This window comes from Homo sapiens, chromosome 1 (genome assembly GCF_000001405.40).
Source record: "Homo sapiens chromosome 1, GRCh38.p14 Primary Assembly".
In the NCBI taxonomy this organism is placed as follows: Eukaryota; Metazoa; Chordata; class Mammalia; order Primates; family Hominidae; genus Homo; species Homo sapiens.
The window spans coordinates 100,000,979-100,021,500 of record NC_000001.11 but is presented as its reverse complement, the minus strand read 5'-3'; the positions used below and the strand labels follow the sequence as shown (position 1 = coordinate 100,021,500).

The window sequence follows — 20,522 nt, the reverse complement described above, 5'->3', positions numbered from 1 at the left end:
AGGTCTCACTTTGTTGCCCAAGCTGATCTTGAACTCCTGGGCTCAAGTGATCTGCCTCAGACTCCCAATGTGCTGTGATTACAGGCATGAGCCACTGTGACCAGCCTGAATCTTAACTTTTATTTATTTATTTTTTTGAGATGGAGTCTCACTCTGTCGCCCAGGCTGGAGTGCAGTGGTGTGATCTCGGCTCACTGCAACCTCCGCCTCCCAGGTTCAAGCAATTCTCCTGCCTCAGCCTCCCGACTAGCTGGGATTACCAGTGTGCACCACCACACCCCGCTAATTTTTTGAATTTTTAGTAGAGATGGGGTTTCACCATGTTGGCCAGGCTGGTCTCAAACTCCTAACCTCAAGTGATCTGCCCACCTCCGCCTCCCAAAGTGCAATCTTAACTTTTAATGTGTACATTTTTTAAAATGCTATTATAGAGACATAAGCTAGTTTTGGATTTAAAGTTTCTACTAATAGTCCAAAGCCATGCTCCTGTTTTTTTGTTTTTAATTGCCTATAAACGAAAAATAATTACTAATCATTATTAAAAGGCCCTTCATAATATGGTCCCTCCAAACTCATCCTTCCCACTTCATGCCACCCAATCTATAATTCAGCCACTCCAATCAGTGAACACAACATACACTTTCTTGACAGTGTCTTTAGAGATACTATTCCCTCTGTCCACAGTTTCCTTGCTTCTTAGAAAATGCTTATTCATAATAATTCAGGTCTAATGTCTCCAAGACTCACTCCCCTAGGCAGAACTACCCCAGCATAACACTTACCACACTGTCATTAAATGATGCATTATTTACAAGTCCACTCCCCTGCTCAACCATATGCTCTTCATTCACTGTGGTAGCCACAGTGCCTAGCATATATAGGGAGCTCAGTAATTATCTGTTATGATTAATAACTAGATTTGACTTGATACAAATGGTTAACTCTTCAAAAGACTCGAATGCAGTTATACATATAAGGTTATTAGGATAACATAAAACATCCTGTAATGTATCTTGAAGAAATTGCTACATTAATATTGGTAATTATTAATTACTAGACACTGTCTTCCTTAGTCATTATGAACTATTCTTAGCTTTCTGGAACTTTGGAATGGCATGGACTGAAAGTTCATGCTCAACTGAAAGATTCTGTGGTCTACCTTTGTATCCACTGCAGGAATCCTTTCTATAATATCTTTAGCAGGATCTACTTGAATACCTAATCATGTCAGGAAACACCTGTTTCTCAAGCCAGCAATTTTAAGATGGTTCTGAGAGAGAAAGTTGTCTCAGAAAAAAAAAAATTAGGATAAAACTATCAGAATGTAATGATTACTTCAAGGATTTGAGCCCCCTCTAACAGAATTATTGTATGTATACTTCCATTGTTGCATTGATCATACTGTTATAATTATTCACATCTGTCTTTCCAATCACTTGATGATCACCAAACCTTGATGACCTTGAAGACAAGAAATTGTGTCTCATTCATGCACTCCTTTTCCAGGAGCTAGCACAGTGGCCAGCAGGCACATAGTAGACACAAACTTTTGATAAAAGAATAAGCAACCCTAAATGGAAGAATGGTAACACCAATAAGCAAAATAACAAGCACAAGAAAAATAATTTAGGGAAGTGGGTAACAGTGATATTGTATCAGTAGAGATGTCTAACAGTCAATAGAATAAAGGGATCTAGAGTTTAGGTGAAATCTGAACTTATCTTCCTAGAGAAGACAGATATGACATGGCAGTGGATGAGATAGCCAAGAGAGTGAGCAAGGATTGACAAACTACCAAAGGGACAATCAGAAATGCAAGTATAGGCGTACCATTTCAGAGAAGCCAAACAAACAAACAAACAAAAACCCAGTTTCAGGAGATGGAATGAGGCTAAAGGCAAATATATTATTACATTTAGGATAGAATTGAATGAAGATTGAGAAAATGTCACTAGATTTATTACTGAAAATGTATTCTCCACAAAGGTAAGATGCATAAAGATAGAGGGCTTAGTTACCTATTTTAGGAAAAAGAATCCATCTTCTCCATCTGGCTTAGTGTCCTGAGCATATTCTCAAAATATTCATTCATTCATTCATTCATTCATTCATTCATTCAATAATGGCAGTATCATTGTCTTTTCTCTTTCTATCTTCAACTAAACAAACCTTATATACTTCCTCAGAAACGTGAATTTACAGGCAGGCATACATCTCATTGCCAAACTACTACTCTTTTGTCCCTCTGATGGTTTGCTTGTTCATTTATTTGTTTATTCTCTGCATAATTCAAAGATTTAATTACCTCGGCCTTACATAAGGTTCAATTTAAAAAAAAAAAAAAGGTATGCTTTTAAAAGTAAAATCTAAAAATCTGCAAGGTGCAAACATTCTCAAAGTACATTAAAGCATACGATTTCCTCATCTTATGAACAGGGAATATGATTAAGATTACAAAATTAAGACACAAGTGTTCATTGTTCATCTAGTCTCACTAGCTAAGTGATTCATTTCCATACCAAGCTGAAAACAGAAATGCTTTTAAATTTTTGTCCCATAAGAACTACAGATCTCAACATGTATGTTCCAGACCTATTGTCTAGATTGCTAGAAAAGAATTAAAACCGTCAATGTTCAATATAAAAAATATAAAAAGGATATTATATTTTTATAGTGCCAAATTCCATCCATAATCCTATTTCACTCTCAAAAACACAAATGAGTTCAGCGAAGTGGCATATGCCTATAATCCCAGCACTCTGAGAGGCAGAGGTGGGAAGATTGCTCGAGGTAAGGAGTTCAAGATCAGCCTGGGCAACAAAGCACATGTGTAGTCCCAGCTACCTGTGAGGCTGAGGCAGGAGGATTGCTTGAGCCCAGGAGTTTGAAGCTGCAGTGGGCTACGATCACGCCACTGCACTGCAACCTGGGTGACAAACTGAGATCCTGTCTCAAAAATATGAACATATAAATAATAAAGTAATAAATAAATAAAAGATTCTTGGGAGATTCCAAAGTTTAGAGGTTGAGAAAATCAGGAGAGGAGTAAAGTTGGAGGAAAACCAAGAGTGGTGTACTGGAAACAATTAAAATATAATCCCACTAGTCTGAGATTATAAATTAAACAAAAAACTAGAATTTTCAATGCTGTCTGTAATGGATATTCATTACACTCAATTTTTCCTGATGCTATCTCCTCCCTTAGCATCCATAAAACTACAGAGTCCTGGGTCTTCTTCCTCACCTATAACTCCTCCTGCAATTCCTTTCCAGATTGCTCTTCCTGCTACCACCTAATTGAGTTTCCTCATGAGCCACATTCTCTATATAAACTATCTCCTTCAAGGAAGTCATGTAAATTCCGTATTTTAAAAATGTCATTACATGACTTATTTTTATGACTTTATATGACTTATTAACTTTTTTATATCACTTTTTTACTTTGCAGGGAAAATATTCACATCTATTTATTGGGAAAATTCTGGCCAACCAAATTTGTATAAGAAACTTTTCAGGAGAAGACTTTCTTTCATGAATTTAATTTGAAATATTTTTAAAACATAGTTAAATAAATTTTTAAAATTATATTTCAGTGCTTCTTCAAATTTATCAGATCACCTTACAAAGAATTCTAATTTTTCTATATACTTCTGGGGATTTAAAAAAATAGAAAAGAACATTTTACCTGGTTGGCACAAAATCTTGAAGCCAAAAATAGGAGATCAATGTTGATAATATTATCGATAAAGAGGTTGCAAATCCTTTTAAAATATTATCTGCATACTTAATAACAGCAGCTATTACAAGGCCTCCAAGTGCCTGAAGTTTTAAAAAAATATTTTTTAAAACACACATGTAAAACTGCATTTCAAAACACTTTCAGTATTTAATAAAGCTTTAAGCTTTTGTCCCATAAATTCAATCCCATTATAGTAAGGGATTTATTTTAAACATCTCTTAACAACGAATAGACTTACAGGTTTTGTTCAATAGCCCTCTTATTTCAAAAGGCATTTAATTAAAGTAACTACCAGGACAATCTGCAGTGTGTTATAATGGACTTTGACCATATTACAAATAAAATGTCTATCATTATCCAATTTAGTAATTAAACATCACTTGTTTGGACAAATGTAAGAGGACTGGTCACTTTAAATAGTGAAATATTTTTACTTTTGAGTAAAATTAGTAATCAGAGTCATTTTACAGCCTTTCAACAGCCCCTTAATTTGGCTTTTTTCCTATAGTTTCTCCCCTTTCAAATCCACCTCTCATTACTGTCACATTAAGTTTTCTAAAGCACAGTTTTAATTGTGCTTTTTCTTTAAGACTGTAGAAAGAACTTACCTAATCCCTCTCAAATTCCCAATTGTGGCTACTTTAATAATGAGGTTTTACTATACTACACAGTTTTGCTTTCTGCCAAAGACTACTTATCATTTTCCAAATCTGGGTTACCTACTGCAACAACTTTCAAAACATCTCTTCTATGATGGAAGCTTTATTTAGAGAAAGTCGTAAATTATGCCAATTGAGCTTACTACAAATTAATGTTTCAGTCCCAGTATTTCTTGGCAATGTTGTCATTCATCTATTTACTCCCTATTGAATCCTTCATACCAGTTATACCAAACATTTTTAATTTTTCTCATATCTTCAGCCCCTTTTTAAGGGAAGGGGGCTTCTTCTCTTTGCTGGAATAAGATACATCATACATAAACTCTCTTGACTCACCCTATCTCCGCTTCAAATTTTCTCTTAATTATTTTTTTAAAATTTTCACTTATCTTTGTTTCCTTTTCTGCTATCTTAAAAACAGAAGTATCCGGGCCAGGCGAGGTGGCTCACGCCTGTAATCCCAGCACTTTGGGAGGCCGAGGTGGGCGGATCACAAGGCCAGGAGATCAAAACCATCCTGGCTAACACAGTGAAACCCCGTCTCTACTAAAAATACAAAAAATTAGCTGGGCTTGGTGGCGGGCGCCTGTAGTCCCAGCTACTTGGGAGGCTGAGGCAGGAGAATGGCGTGAACCCAGGAGGCGGAGCTTGCAGTGAGCCAAGATCTCGCCACTGCACTCCAGCCTGGGCAACAGAGCGAGACTCCGTCTCAAAAAAAAAAAAAAAATAGAAGTATCCGGGCCGGGCGCGGTGGCTCACACCTGTAATCCCAGCACTTTGGGAGGTCAAGGTGGGTGGATAACGAGGTCAGGAGATCGAGATCATCCTGGCTAACATGGTGAAACCCCCGTCTCTACTAAAAATACAAAAATTAGCTGGGCGTGGTGGCACATGCCTGTAATCCCAGCTACTCAGGAGGCTGAGGCAGGAGAATTGCTTGAACCTGGGAGGTGGAGATTACAGTGAGACGAGATCGTACCACTGCACTCCAGCCTGGTGACAGAGCTAGACTCCGTCTCAAAAAAAAAAAAAAAAAAAATAGAAGTATCCTACCTGCTTTTAAAACACAACTATCCTTTGCCATCTTCACCTTCCTTTCTGGAGCCTTGCTTCCTAGGCTTCAAATATCTCTAGAAGAATAGGAGGCTCTAAGGATAGTGACTTGTATCTTCATTTTTATATCCTCTAGAATTCTCCATATGTATTTTTTAAAGATGTAATTAATTACTCAACCCTTGAACAATTCCAAGCTATATATAAACTGAATTTGACAGATGTTTTCCAATATGTAACTACAATATGAGGCTATGAACTGTCACAGAATTAAATATCTAGATCTGCTTCCTGGGTCTTAATGGCTGACCCAGACTTCCTGTACAATGATAAGACTTGTAAAAATCAAAAGTTATATTTGCCTTTAGCTTCAACTCTTTTATTCTTAAACTTGTATTTTCATTATGTTACATTTAAAACCACAAAGTTCATTAAAGACCCCTGTACAAAATAAGATTTCATTACAGCATTAAGATCACTTCTATTTTCACTTCCTTGAATAAACTAGATACGAGAGCACTAACAGGAGGGACCTTTTCCCCCTCACATCAGTATATCAGGAGCTACTTTGATTCTTTATATTAAAATACAGTTTATTAGCATTAAATCTAAGACTTTAAATGCTTTACCTGAAGAACAACTACTATCCAGGTCAGTCGGTTATATCCCTGAAAAAATCCATTCTTTGATACCAGTTCTCCATCATAAATGTATACACCCATTAATCCAAATATACTTCCAAAGAAACCTAAAAAAAAGTAAAGTCTACATGATATATCGTTTAGTTTGTCTGAAGAGATATATTTTTTCCACTGACATTCCAAATAATTTTACACTTAACTTTTTCTTTTTGATAAAATTAGATTACTTTCTTTTTTTTTTTTTTTTTTTTGAGACGGAGTCTTGCTCTGTTGCCCAGGCTGCAGTGCAGTGGCACAATCTTGGCTTACTGCAACCTCCACCTCCCAGGTTCAAGCAATTCTCCTGCCTCAGCCTCCCGAGTAGCTGGGACTACAGGCGCGTGCCACCACGCCCAGCTAATTTTTTGTATTTTTAGTAGAGACGGGGTTTCACTGTGTTAGCCAGGCTAGTCTCGATCTCCTGACCTCATGATCCACCTGCCTTGGCCTCACAAAGTCCTGGGATTACAGGTGTGAGTTACGTGCCCAGCCAAAATTAGATTACTTTCTAAAATTTTTACTTGGTTTTGTATACTTAACAAAAGTATACTTAGTACTATATTATGACTACAAGACAAAGACATATAAATGTAAAAAGACAAAGACATAGAATACAAAAAATAACATACATTACCAACTTTGGAGCACTAAAATAATACAATGCACAAATTAGATAATTACATGGCTAGCCCATTCGAATATGTGCAAATTGCTCACATTTGGAATATGTCATTGTTCTTCCATCTTCCTCTTGCTAGATCTAGATTTTTCATATATTCACATTGATACATACAAATATAAAAGCTGAGGCAGGGGGTACAATATTTTTCCCTATTAAGAAGTTTTGAGAGTGGGCACAGTGGCTCACGCCTGAAATCCCAGCACTTTGGAAGGCCAAAGCAGGAGAATCATTTGACCCCAGGAGTTTAAGACCCACCCAGGCAACATAGCAAGACTCCATCTCTACAAAAAAATTTTTAAATTAGTTAGGTGTGGTGGTGCATGCCTGTAGTCCTAGCTACTCAGGTGGCTGAGGAGGGACAATCACTTGAGCCCAGAAGTTTGAGGTTACAGTGGGCTATGATTCTACCACTGCATTCCAGTCTGAGCAAAACAGCGAGACTGTCTCTAAAAAAATAAATAAATAAATAAAAGTTTTGTTTTGAAAGTATAACTAATAATAACTGATATCCAAAAAATCACAGCTAAGAAATAGTCATAGAAATCATTAGATTCTGTGTTACTGAAGTTTCACTGTTAGAGAAAGTTAACTTGGTGACAGCAGAAACTGTCTTGTTCATGTTGAATCTCACCTCAAAAACATATTCTATCACATGACTATTGGAATAAGAGATTCCCAGAAGCATTGCGAGGCTATTAATAAAGAAATTCATGCTTACATGGACCACTTCTTATGGGTCACCTTTGAAATATGTGCAGTTAAGGAGTGCAAGCGTAAAGCAATTTTTAAAAATGAAGTTATAACTAATCAAAGTATTCCACAATAGAAAGGAAGTGAAAAGGATGAGAAATGCTCTAAAATTCCATTTAAGTCAGCTCTATCCTTTTAATGTCTAATTTCAAACATGAAATTAATGCTGGCATATAATTACAAAAACACATGTGATGGTATTTTATATGATGGTATTACATATATATAAAATAGGTATGTGTGTGTATATATATACACACATATATAAAATACCATCAGAAGAGTTTTATATATAACATATATATATGTATATGTATATTTTGAGACAGGATTTCACTCTGTCACTTAGCAGGCTGGAGTGCAGAGGCACAATCACAACTCACTGCAGCCTCGACTTCTTGGACTCAAGCGATCCTCCCACCTCAGCCTCCGAAGTAGCTTGGACCACAGGCACACGCTACCACACCCAGCTAATTTTTTTTTTTTTTTTTTGTACAGAGTTTTGTAGTGTTGCTCAGACTGGTCTCCAATTCCTAAGCTCAAACAATCCACCTGCCTCGGCCTCTCAAAGTGCTGGGATTACAGGCGTGAGCCACTGTATCCAGGCTTATATATATATATTTTTAAGAAACAGGGTCTCACTATGTTGCTCAGGTCTCAAAACTCCTGGTTCTCAAGCAATCCTCCCATCTCAGCCTCCCAAGTATCTGGGATTAGAAGCACAAGCCACCAAACCCAATAAAGTTTTTTAATTTATAAAAGACTTTGTAATTACTAAAAAAGTATACATTATAGAAGGATATATACATGTCAGTATGAACAGAACTACTGCATTCTAACAGTTGCATAATATTCCTTTGTATGGATTATAATAGCAAATATGTATGTATCAGCATGTAACAAGAATTATTCTAAGTGCTTCATGTATGTTAACTCACATACAACACTATGAGGTAGATGTCTATTTTATAGATGAAGAAACTGAAGCACAGAGAGGTTACATAACTTGCCCAAGCTCACACTACTGGTAAATCATGGGCTCAGGAGAGAACATGATCTTAATCACTATACTATGTATTATACTGATAATTTATTTAACCAGCCCTCTAAATGTTTTCTGTTTTTTAGAATGGTAACCAATGGCTGAAACAATAATCCTGGACATCTATCTTTGTGCTCTTATAGGATAGACTTTTATCCAGACTTGGAATTCTTACATTACAGCCTACACATATTTAAAATTTTGGCAAATATTCCCAAATTGAAATCCAACATGGTTATATCAATCTATACTCCTAGGAACAATAGGTAATAGAGTTCCTGGTTCTCTATTCTCTGGATAAATTGGATCTTATCATGTTAATCTTTGACAATTTGATGTTTGAAAAATGCTATTACATTGTTTTAATTTGTTCTTATAATTTTGAATTGTGATAGGTAATTATTTAATTATCCTTTCAAAACATTAAGTCTGTTATCATTTTTTTCTATGAGCATTGGAGCTTATGAAGTCACCAAATAATAAGAAATCCATGAAGCACATTAGAATCATGAATTCTGATTTGTCTTCCATTTTTATCTTACAATTTAATAAAAGTTTAGGCAACTCACACAAACCTTATTTCTTTCTTTTTCTCTGATATTGTATATTTATATAAATAGTTGACATTTTTAGGGCTCACTATATGTAAGACACTTTATTCTTGGCTCACTGCAACCTCCGCCTCCTAGGTTCAAGCAATTGTCCTGCCTCAGCCTCCAGATTAGCTGGGATTACAGGTGCGCGCCACCATGCCTGGCTAATTTTTTGTATTTTTAGTAGAGATGGGGCTTCATCATGTTGGCCAGGCTGGTCTTTATGTCACAGATCTAAGTTTTTCATATTCTTAAATAAAAGGCGTTCATTTAAAATAAAATGTTTGGCCGGGGAGGTGGCTCACGCCTGTAATCCCAGCACTTTGGGAGGCTGAGGCAGGCAGATCACAAGGTCAAGAAATTGAGACCATCCTGTCTAACACAGTGAAACCCTATCTCTACTAAAAATACAAAAAATTAGCCGGGCGTGGTGGCGGGCGCCTATAGTCTCAGCTACTCAGGAGGCTGAGACTGGAGAATGGCGTGAACCTGGGAGGCGGAGCTTGCAGTGAGCCGAGATTGCACACTGCACTCCAGCCTGGGCGAGAGAGCGAGAATCTGTCAAAAATAAATAAATAAATAAATAAATAAATAAATAAATAAATAAATAAATAAATAATAAAATGTTTTAAAAGACAAGAGCATTGCCAGATATTTGGATCAATAGCAGATTTTATGCAAGGCTCATTTATTTAAAGATATATAGAAATCTTTAAATATAACAATATAATCATTTTTAAAATAATATTAGAAAACATTTAAAACTTACCAAGCTGAATATTTCTTATCCACACTGATTGTTTTGTTTCTTTTAAGATTTTCTCAAAGTAAACCCCAGCAAAGCCACTTGAAAAACATGCTGTGAGAACTGCCATGAGTCCTACAAATTGAGAACCAGCTGAAAGTTCCTTAGAATCAAGCTGAGAATCTGAGGGCCACTAAATAAGAAGAAAAATAAAATTGAAGTTTAATTTCCATAACATTTTACATAAACATATTGAGAGCCCACTCTTAGACCATAACTTAAAAATGCAACCAATATCATTTTTGGGACTGCAAAGGAGAGCTTTTAACATAAAACCTTACAATCATTTGATTTTTTTCCTCACAGTGATAATATATTACTAACTTATAATTTCAAAAAGCACCTTAGAAATAATAAATATTTTACATTTCATCTATTACAGAGACCAATGCTACCTTGAGATAATTCCTTAAAGTTTAATTTATTAAAAAGCACCATCTCAAATACAGGTAGAAGAAAGAATGAGAATCTCACATCCCCTCTGCTGTGTCAGCAAAAGTAGAGATCAGCTGGAAAGTAGTGTTCTAAATCAAGCATAATAAAGGGAAGCTGTTGGGAGGTGAACCCCCCCAAACACTGTCAGGAAAAGACAGTCCATCAGACAGGGAAGGAAAACTCTGAGTACAAGACACTGGAAACGAAATGTGTTGGAAGGGACTCCAGGATCATTGCACCAGGGATAGTACCCTATGGCTTAGATGTTACCCTTAATCTAATCAACTGATATCCTGTAACTACTGTTAAATTTTCTTTTGCATCTATTTCTTCCCTCCTCAGTTTGATCTTCTACTAGCTGGACTTCTTTTTTTGAGACATGGTCTCACTTTGTCACCCAGGCTGGAGTGCAGTGCATGATAACAGCTCATTGCAGCCTCAACCTCCCTGGGCTCAGGTGATCCACCTTAGCCTCCCCAGTAGCTGGGACTACAGGTGCACACAACCACACCCAGCTAATTTCTGTGTTTTTTGTAGAGACAGGGTTCTGCCATGTTGCCCAGGATGGTCTCAAACTCCTGGGCTCAAGCAATTTGCCTGCCTTGGCCTCCCAAAGTGCTAGGACTGTGGGTGTGAGCCACCATGCCCAAACTAGCTGGACTTCTTAAAACCATTTTTCCTTCTGAAACTGTACTTTTCATAGCGACCAAAGACTTTTCAATCAATATGTTAACTAATTTTTAATAATAAAATTGTTCATTCTCTATTCAGCTTGCTTTCACCAGAGAATTAACACTAGTGACTATTCATTCCTTACCTCTTGAAACAACCTGCTCTTTTCCGTGTTCTCTCCTCCAATCTTTATATTTATTCTAGTCAACTGACTCTTTGGATGATGGAAATGTTCTGTATCTTCACCCTCAATAGGGTCATCGCTATATTTAAGTGGCTATTGAGCACGTGAAATGTGGGTAGTGCGACCAAGGAACTGAAATTTTAATTTAATTTTAACTAATTAAATTTAAATAGCTACATATGGCTTGTGGCTACCCTACTGGACAGTGTAGTTCTACAGCATAGTTTATAGGAATCCCCTCTACCCTGGAGAGCTGATTCACAGAAGCACTGACATCTCTTCTGAGCTCAAGTCCAAGATTTTCAGTTGCTGCTATCCAGAAACTTACTATCTCCTCAAAGCCAATATGATTAAAATGTACCCATACCTCTTCAAAGCAAACATACCTTTTGATACCTTTATATCTATTAAAAATGCCACCATTCAAACTTAAGTTTCTTAATCTCCTTGCTCTCCATTCTCTATGATATTTATTGGTCTAACACTCATACTGATTCTTCCCTTGGAACAACTCTTACATCACTGCTGTGGGACATTCCAATCCCATTAACCTGACAGTTTAGGTCCCTGTCATGCTTTCTAACTCCTCTCCATTCCTTCAGTATTTCTCCCCACCAATCTGTCCTGCATGCCTATAGGATTTCTCTGATATGCCTCTCTCCCTTCCAACTCTCCAGTGAGCCCTTACAGCCAAAAGCAGTCAAGCCTAAGCTCCTGGCTCAATACTGAAGACCACATATAATCTAGGACCAATCTGTATTTTGTAATTTCATCTCTCGCCATATCTTTGTCAATTATTTGTTCCAATCAAAGAAGACTATTACCACTCCTTAACTTATTTGTGCTTATCCACAGATCGACATCTGTATTTTTTTTAACATACCTTTTATGTAATGCTTTTTCTGCTGTTTCCGACCTACTGAAACACAAATAGTGAAAAGTTTTAAGGAGATTTGGTTCTGGCTCTGCCACTACTAGATTGGGATCAATAAGCAATTTCATTAACCTCTCTGAGCTTCAATAACTCTTTTGAAAGTTGGGAAGAATAATATCTACCTTAAACAGTTGGGTATAACATGAGATTATACAAGATAAGTACCAAGTGGGCACCTGGCACATAAGTACTCAGTATGCAAATTTCATTATAATTATTACCTTTCAACACCTAATTTAACTCCAATATCATCCCTGAAGATTTCCCAGGAGTCATCTGTACTTACAGGATATAAAATCAGTTGACAACCAATCACATAAAAACAAATATCATTTGTTTAAGTCTTGCTAATTAGGCACTATGAATGGAAGAGCGGTGAAACACAGCTGCTGCCTTCTAGGAACTTAAGTTGTAAGTGTAAACAGACATATAAATGAGCATTTAACTATAATATAAGTACTTTGGAAAAGATATGTACAAAGTACTATGGTGGTACAGAAGAAGGCACAAATGTTTAAATGTTATGCCTGTGATGTTAGGAAGATATTCTGGTAGAGGCAGACTTTAAGACTGAGCTGAGTCTTAAAGGTAGGAGTTAGCCAGGCAAAGAAAGGGGAGAAGGCATTGTAGGCACAAGAGAAAGAATGGATAAATGCTCAGCTGTGCAAAATAGCCCCTACAAGCAGCTCAGTTGTAGCAATTCAGAGTGTGAAGTATGCAGCAGCAGAAATGAGTCTAGAACTGTAGGTACATTTCAGAAGGTCCAGTGTGTCACACTAATCACTCTGAGCTTTATCCTATAGGTCTGTGTTCCTGAAGCTTCAGTTATTTGCCTATCATTTTCATGGTTTTGTCAAACTTATGTTCCACCTGAACTATTAATAACTTTCTAATTTAAAATACCTAACTGTTTGAAACAATGCCTACTTTAGCTTACCCTAAGCAATATTTATGAAAATATGAATTTGATATGCCACTTAAACTTTTGTAATACTCATTTAAAATAAATATGAAAAATATTAGGCTGGGTACAGTGGCTCGCGCCTGTAATCCCAGCACTTTAGGAGGCTGAGGAGGGTGGATCATGAGGTCAGGAGTTCGAGACCAGCCTGGCCAACATAGTGAAAGTCCATCTTTACTAAAAATACAAAAAATTAGCCGGGCATGGTGGCAGGCACCTGTAATCCCAGCTACTTGGAAGGCTGAGGCAGGAGAATTGCTTGAACCCAGGAGGTGGAGGTTGCAGTGAGCTGAGATTGTACCACTGCCTTCCAGCCTGGGACAGAGCAAGACTCCATCTCAAAAAAAAAAAAAAAATTAAAAAGTTATTTATGATATAAATACCACACTTCAGGGAAAGTGATGGCATGAACTGAGGAATTATCAGGATATAAGTATTAAAAAAACCTTCCATCAGAACAAGTATCACTGAGGACTAAAAATAATAATAATCATAATAAATAATAAGGCCAGGTGCAGTGGCTCACATCTAACACTTTGGGAGGCTGAGGCAGGATGATCACTTCAGCCCAGAAGTTTGAGAGACTAGTCTGGGAAACACAGTGAGACCCCGTCACTTTATAAATTTTTTTTAAAAAATTAAAATTAACCGCCCCCCAAGAATAGATGAAATCTCCAAAAATAAAGATGTAACTTAGAAGAAATAACAAACCTGCAAGCAACCCCAGTATTTAAAGGGAGTCTCACAGAAAAGATTCCTATGAAGAAAACCAATAAGGAATCATTAGAAAGATAAAAGAACCAGGAAAAAATGGTATTGTGAAGCCGATAGAAAATAAAAAGGGAGTGGCTAATAATCTCAAATGCTACAGATATCCAGCAAAAATCAACTTTCTTTAAAATGCAGTGTCTTATTTCCCTAATTAGAATGTTCACTTCTGTAGGTAATATAATTTTATTTTGATTAATTCCTCTGTATTACTTACACTCCCAATGTAGTATGTCACATAAAGGATGCCCTCAAAACATATGTTAGTTGTGGGGAAAAACATTTGTTGGTTTCAACAATCAATAGAACCATATTTCTCCACACAAAATAAATAAGGTTTTGAAACCACAATAAAGATAAAAATATATACTTATCTTGAATAGTTACCTGTACAAAAGCAACTCCTGTCATCAAAATTACTAGGGACAGCCACTGGTATACACCCAATTTTTTACTAAGCATAGACACAGAAAATAATGCTGTTGTAAGAATTTTTAACTGATACGTGACCTGAAAAAGAAAACAGTAATATTATTAATGTTCGTTTGTTTGTTTGTTTGTTCCTTAAGAGTACTATTAGAAATGTATTTTAAGGACTATGGCAGCATGCCTGGTGGTTGCATCTGGCTGGGAACTGGAATCTAAAGCTTCAGTTAATGCCAGTCTCAGGAATCTGTACTATGTACCAGAGAGCTCTGGACACTTTAGGCAATAATGCAAAATGAATTGAACCTTCTTATTATAAATTAGGTTGCAACATGAAAGCAAAGACAAAATTATCTCCACAGCCACTGCCACTCTTGCAGATACACAAGCATGCAATCTAGGGGCCTGGGTATCAACCTGCCCCACCTGTCACAGACAGCACCTGCGCAGACCATCCAGGGGCCTGAGGACAAGCCTGTCCTTGCACAGGCCTCCAGGGACTTGAAAACGAGCCTGCTCTGTCTACTGCCCACGCATGCCTCCTGGGGGCTAGCGACTGACCCTGCACAACCTGTTGCTACCACTGCTGGCACCCACCCATGCACACAAACTGGGGCCTGAAAATTGGATTGCTCAGCCCTATGCTTTCACCACTGGCACTCATGTACACTGCTTGGGGAACCAAGATTGGCCTACTGCTGCTTCTGCTACTGCCAATGCCACACATGCCACCCAAGAACTGGAAGACCCACCTACCTGCCCAGCCCACTGCTACCTCAAGCAGCACTAAAACAAGCTGCTGGGAGGCCCAAGGACCAGCCACCTGGACCCACCACTGCTAGTATCTGCATACACCTCTTGGAGACCCAAGAACCAGCATACCTGGTCCACCACTGCCACCACTGGACCCTGCCTGGCATCCCCATCCCCAGCAAAGCCTTGCCACAGCCTCCACTAACAACTTCAGTCGAAGCCACTAAGGAACCAGACAGACCCCACTGACATTGATTATAGCCAAAGAAATCATATAGAGACTATATATTACTGCACCCACCCAGGATCAAAGCCAAAGCACCCTACCCAACCAACATTATGCATATATCTGTGAGAAAATGTCTTTCCCTATGAAAGCTATCTACAAAACTGGAAGAAGCTATTGTTATACCAGATGCACAGATATCAATGTAAGGAAACAAGAAACATGAGAAAGCAAGGAAATATGACACCTCCAAAGGGACACAATAAGTCTCCAGTAACACATCCCAATGAAAAGAAAATATGAAAGGCCTGAAAAAGAATTCAACATAATGATATCTAGAAAGTTTAGTGAGATACAAGAGAACACAAGCAGACAATATAAACAAAATAGGAGAACAATTCATCATCTAAATGAGGTTTTCAACAAAGAGATATCATAAAAAAGAACTAAACAAAAATCATAGAACTAAAGAATTCAATAAATGAAATAAAAAATCCAACCAAGAGCTTCAATGTTAGACTAGATGAAACAGAATAAAGAATTTCTGAACTTGAAGTCAGGTCTTTTGAAATAAGCCAGTCACATAAAAAAAAGAGAAAAAAGAATGAAAAAGCCTAAATAGAGTCAACCCAAAACGATCTTCACCAAAGTACATTTTATTTTGATTAATTTCTCTGTATTACTTACACTCCCAATGTAGTATGTCACACAAAGGATGCCCTCAAAACATATGTTAGTTGTGGGGAAAAACATTTGTTGGTTTCAACAATCAATAGAACCATATTTCTCCACACAAAATAAATAAAGTTTTGAAACAACAATAAAGATTAAAATATATACTTTTTTCTACCAAAAGTCAAACTACCAAAAGTCAAAAGTCAAAGAGAGAACCCTAAAAACAGCAAGAGACAAGCATCAAGTTACATATAAGGGAATCTCCATCAGTCTTAGCAGCAGGTTTTTTAAGAGAAACATTATAGGCCAGGAGAGAATTAGATGATATATTCAAAGTGCTGAAAGAAAGAAAAACTGCCAGATAAAAATACCATACGCAGTGAAACTATTGTTAAAAAATGAATGCAGGCTGGGCGTGGAGGCTCATGCCTGTAATCCCAGCATTTTGGGTGGCCGAGGTGGGCAGATCACTTGAGGTCAGGAGTTCAAGACCAGCCTGGCCAACATGATGAAACCCCGTCTCTACTAAAAATACAAAAATTAGCAGGGCATGGTGGCGTGCACAGGCATGGTAGAGTGCGATTGTGGTCTAGCTACCTGGAAGGATGAGGCAGGAGGACAGGTTGAGCCCAGGAGTTTGATACTGCAGTGCACCATAACTGTGCCTGTGAACAGCCACTGCACTCCAGCCTAGGAAGCATAGCAAGACATCTGTCTTTTAGAAAATAAAAAATAAAAAAAATAGAAATAATTTTTTTTAAATTAAAAAATAGGTAAATAAATTTTTTAAAAATAAAATGAGAGATAAAGTCTTTCCTAGATAAGGAAAAACTGAGAAAATTCATCACCACTAAACCAGCCATATAAGAAATGCTTAGGCCAGGTGCCTGTAATCACACTTTGGGAGGCCAAGGCGGGCAGATCTCTTGAGCTCAGGAGTTTAAGACCAGCCCTGGGAAACATGACGAAACCTCATCTCTAAAAAAATATGAAAGTTAGCCAGGCATGGTGGTGTGCATGGGTAGGCCCAGCTACTTGGGAGGCTGAGGGAAGATGGCTTGAGCCTGGGAGGCAGAAGTTGCAGTGAACCAAGACTGTGCCCCTGCACTCCAGCCTGGGTGATAGAGCCAGACCTTGCCTCAAAAACAAACAAAAAAAGTGCTTACAGAAGTCCTGCACTTGAAAGCCAGTATCTACCATGATAAAAACACAAGAAAGCATAAAACTCACTGGAAAACCAGATACACAAATAACAAAAAGAAAGAAGTCAAACATTAACACTACAGAAAACCAACCAGAAAACAACTGACAAAATGACAGGAATAATCCCCATGTACCAATAATAACTGTGAATGTAAATAAATTAAATTTCCCACATAAAAGATATGGACTGGCAAAATGGATTTAAAAAATCATATGTTAACTACACACTACCTACAAGAAATGCAGTTCACCTGTAAAGACAAACAGACGAAAGTAAAGGGATAGAGAGATATTCCATGCAAACAGAAACCAAAAACGAGCAGAAATAGCTATACTTATGTAAAATAGACTTTAGGTCAAAAACTGCAGAAACAGACAAAGAGGTAATTATATCATGATAAAGGGATCAATTCAACAACACTATAAAGCAATTCTAAATATACATGCACCCAACTCTGCAGCACCTAGATATATTAAGAAAATATTAGTAGCTCTAAAGAGAGAGATAGACTCCAATACAGTAACAATTGGGGACTTCACAACCCCACTCTCAGTTTTGCACATATATCATCTAGAAATAAAATCAACAAAAGAAACATTAGAGGATTTAAACTACACTTTATACCTAATGGAACTCCCAGACATTCACAAAACACTTCATCTAACAGTTGCAGAATGCACATGCTTCTCATCAGCACATGCAGCATTCTCCAGAATAGAATATATATTAGGCTATAAGTCTCAACAAATCTTTAAAAGTTGAAGTCATATCAAGTATCTTCTCAGACCAAAACAGAAAATTTTCTTTTTTTCCTCTTCTCTTTTTTTTTTTTTTTTTTTTTTTGAGATGGAGTTTCAATCTTGTTGCCCAGGCTGGAGTGCAATGGTGTGATCTCAGCTCACGGCAACCTCCGCCTCCTGGGTTCAAGCAATTCTCCTACCTCAGCCTCCTGAGTAGCTGAGATTACAGGTACCCGCCACCATGCTTGGCCAATTTTTGTATTTTTAGTAGAGACAGTGTTTCACCATGTTGGCCAGGCTGGTCTCAAACTCCTGACCTCAGGTAATCCACCCACCTTGGCCTCCCGACGTGCTGGGATTACAGGCGTGAGCCACTGTGCCCAGCCTAGAAAAATTTCTTAAAACAAATATAAATTGAAACACAACATACCAAAACCTATGAGATACAGCAAAAGCAGTGACAAAAGGGAAGTTTACAGCAATAAATGCCTACATCAACAAATTAGAAAGATTCATATAAACAACCTAATATACCTCGAGAAGCTAGAAAAGCAAGAACAAACCAAACCAAAACTAAAAGAAGGAAAGAAATAATAAAGATGGGCAGGCCAGGCATGGTGGCTCATAGCTATAATCCCAGCACCTTGGGAGGCCAGGTGGGAGGATCACTTGAGGCCAGAAGTTCAAGACCAACCTGGGCAACATAAAAAGACCCTGTCTCTACAAAAAAAAAAAAATTAACCGGCATGGTAGCACATGCCTATATTCTCAGCTATTCAGGAGGCTGAGATGGGAGGATTTCTTGAGCCCAGGAGGTTGAGGCTGCAGTAAGCTAAGACTGTGCCATGGCACTCCAGTGTGGGCAACAAAGTGAGAATGTCTCAAACAAACAACAACAACAACAAAAGATCAGGGCAGAACTAAATGAAATAGAAACTAAACAAAAATACAAAGGATGAAATAAAAGAAGAATTGGTTTCATGAAAAGATAAATAAAATCAATAAACTACAAACTAGACTAACCAAGAAAAAAAGAGGAAAGACCCAAATAAAATCATAAACAAAAAAGGAGACAGTACAGATGACACCACAGAATTACACAGGATCATTAGAGACTATTATGAACAACTATATACTAGCAAATTGAAAAACCTACAAGAAATGGATAGATTCCTGGACTCATACAACCTACCAAGATTGAACAAAGAAGAAAGACCAATAACAAGTAACAGGATTCAATCAGCACTTAAAAAGCCTCCCACAAAAGAAAAGTCCAGGACTGGATGGCTTCAATTCTGAATTCTACTGAACTTATAAAGAAGAACTAACACCAATTCTCCTCAAACTATTCCAAAAAAATCAAATGGAGGGAATTTTTCCTAACTCATCCTGTGAGGCCAGCATTACCCTGATATCACAACCAGACAAGCACACAGCAAAAAAGAATACTATAGTTGCATATTCCTGAACAGAACAACAGAGAACCCAAAAATCCTGAACTAAATATTAATACTTGCAAATCAATTCCAACAGCACATAAAAAAGATTGTTTACCATAATCAAGTAGGATTTATCCCAAGGATGCAAAGATGGTTTAATATATATGCAAAATCAATAAATGTAATACACCATATCAACAGAATGAAGAATAAAAACCTTATGATCATCTCAATAGATGCAGAAAAAGCATTTGATAAAATTTAAAATATTCCTAGGAACATATCAACATAATAAAGGCCATATATGACAAACACACAACTAATATCATACTGAATGCGGAAAAGCTGGAAGGCTTTCCTTTAAAAACTGGAACAAAATCGGGCAAATGAGATTTAAGGCATCCAAACTGGAAAAGAGGAAGTCAAATTGTCCCTCTTTGCAAATGACATGATCTTATATAGAGAGGACCCTAAAGATTCCATTAAAAAAACTCTTAGAGCTGATAAACAAATTCAGTTGTTTCAGGATACAAAATCAACATACAAAAATCAGTAGCATTTCTATAAACCAATAACAAGCTAGCTGAAAAAGAAATAAAGAAAGCAACCTTATTTCCAATAGCTACAAAAAAAAAATCTGGGAATAAATTTAACCAAGGAAGTAAAAGATCTCTACAAGAAAAACTACAAAACACGGATGAAAGAAATGGAACAGGACACAAATGGGAAGATATACCATGCTTGTGGATTAAAAGAATTAATATTGTTAAAATCACCATATTACCAAAAGCGATCTTCGGATTCAGGACAATCCCCATCAAAATACCAATGACACTCTTCACAGAAACAGAAAAAACAATCCTAAAATTCATATGGAACCACAAAGACCCTGAATAATAGCCAAAGCAACCCTGAGCAAAAAGAACAAAGCTAGAGGCATCACACTATGACTTCCAAATATACTACAAGGCTATAGTAACCAAAATAGCATGGAATTTGTTTAATAACAGGCACAAAGACCAATGGAACAAAATAGAGAACCCCAAAATACATTTACATGTTTACAGCCAACTGATTTTTGACGAAGGTGCCAGGAGCATGC

At 37.2% G+C, this 20,522-nt stretch overlaps 1 protein-coding gene and 1 long non-coding RNA gene across 22 annotated transcripts in view, besides 2 other annotated features; one reads left to right on the top strand and one right to left on the bottom strand.

The window, feature by feature from the left end:
- LOC124904230 (uncharacterized) overlaps nucleotides 1-20,522 on the top strand; it is a 124,812-nt gene that overhangs the window by 16,508 nt on the left and 87,782 nt on the right. The gene's annotated exons all lie outside the window — the stretch shown is intronic.
- SLC35A3 (solute carrier family 35 member A3) overlaps nucleotides 1-20,522 on the bottom strand; it is a 65,639-nt gene that overhangs the window by 14,134 nt on the left and 30,983 nt on the right. For 3 of the 13 annotated variants that reach the window (NM_001438725.1, NM_012243.3, NM_001271685.2), the window contains 4 exons: nucleotides 14,345-14,467; nucleotides 9,968-10,136; nucleotides 6,081-6,199; nucleotides 3,686-3,819 (listed from right to left, as the gene is read on the bottom strand). In NM_001438725.1, coding sequence (NP_001425654.1) covers nucleotides 3,686-3,819; nucleotides 6,081-6,199; nucleotides 9,968-10,136; nucleotides 14,345-14,467 — 545 coding nt within the window. Of the gene's footprint in view, nucleotides 1-3,685; nucleotides 3,820-6,080; nucleotides 6,200-9,967; nucleotides 10,137-12,177; nucleotides 12,214-14,344; nucleotides 14,468-20,522 lie in introns of those variants that run through there. The other 10 variants (NM_001438728.1, XM_011541137.4, NM_001437717.1 and 7 more) reach the window with 6 other exon arrangements.
- Nucleotides 14,404-14,904: an enhancer, noted in NCBI's record as "H3K4me1 hESC enhancer chr1:100472153-100472653 (GRCh37/hg19 assembly coordinates)". NCBI's record gives its function as "activates a minimal SCP1, AML or CMV promoter by ChIP-STARR-seq in naive H9 embryonic stem cells {active_cell/tissue: H9 hESC(naive)}" and the evidence as "EXISTENCE:reporter gene assay evidence [ECO:0000049][PMID:30033119]".
- Nucleotides 14,905-15,405: an enhancer, noted in NCBI's record as "H3K4me1 hESC enhancer chr1:100471652-100472152 (GRCh37/hg19 assembly coordinates)". NCBI's record gives its function as "activates a minimal SCP1, AML or CMV promoter by ChIP-STARR-seq in naive H9 embryonic stem cells {active_cell/tissue: H9 hESC(naive)}" and the evidence as "EXISTENCE:reporter gene assay evidence [ECO:0000049][PMID:30033119]".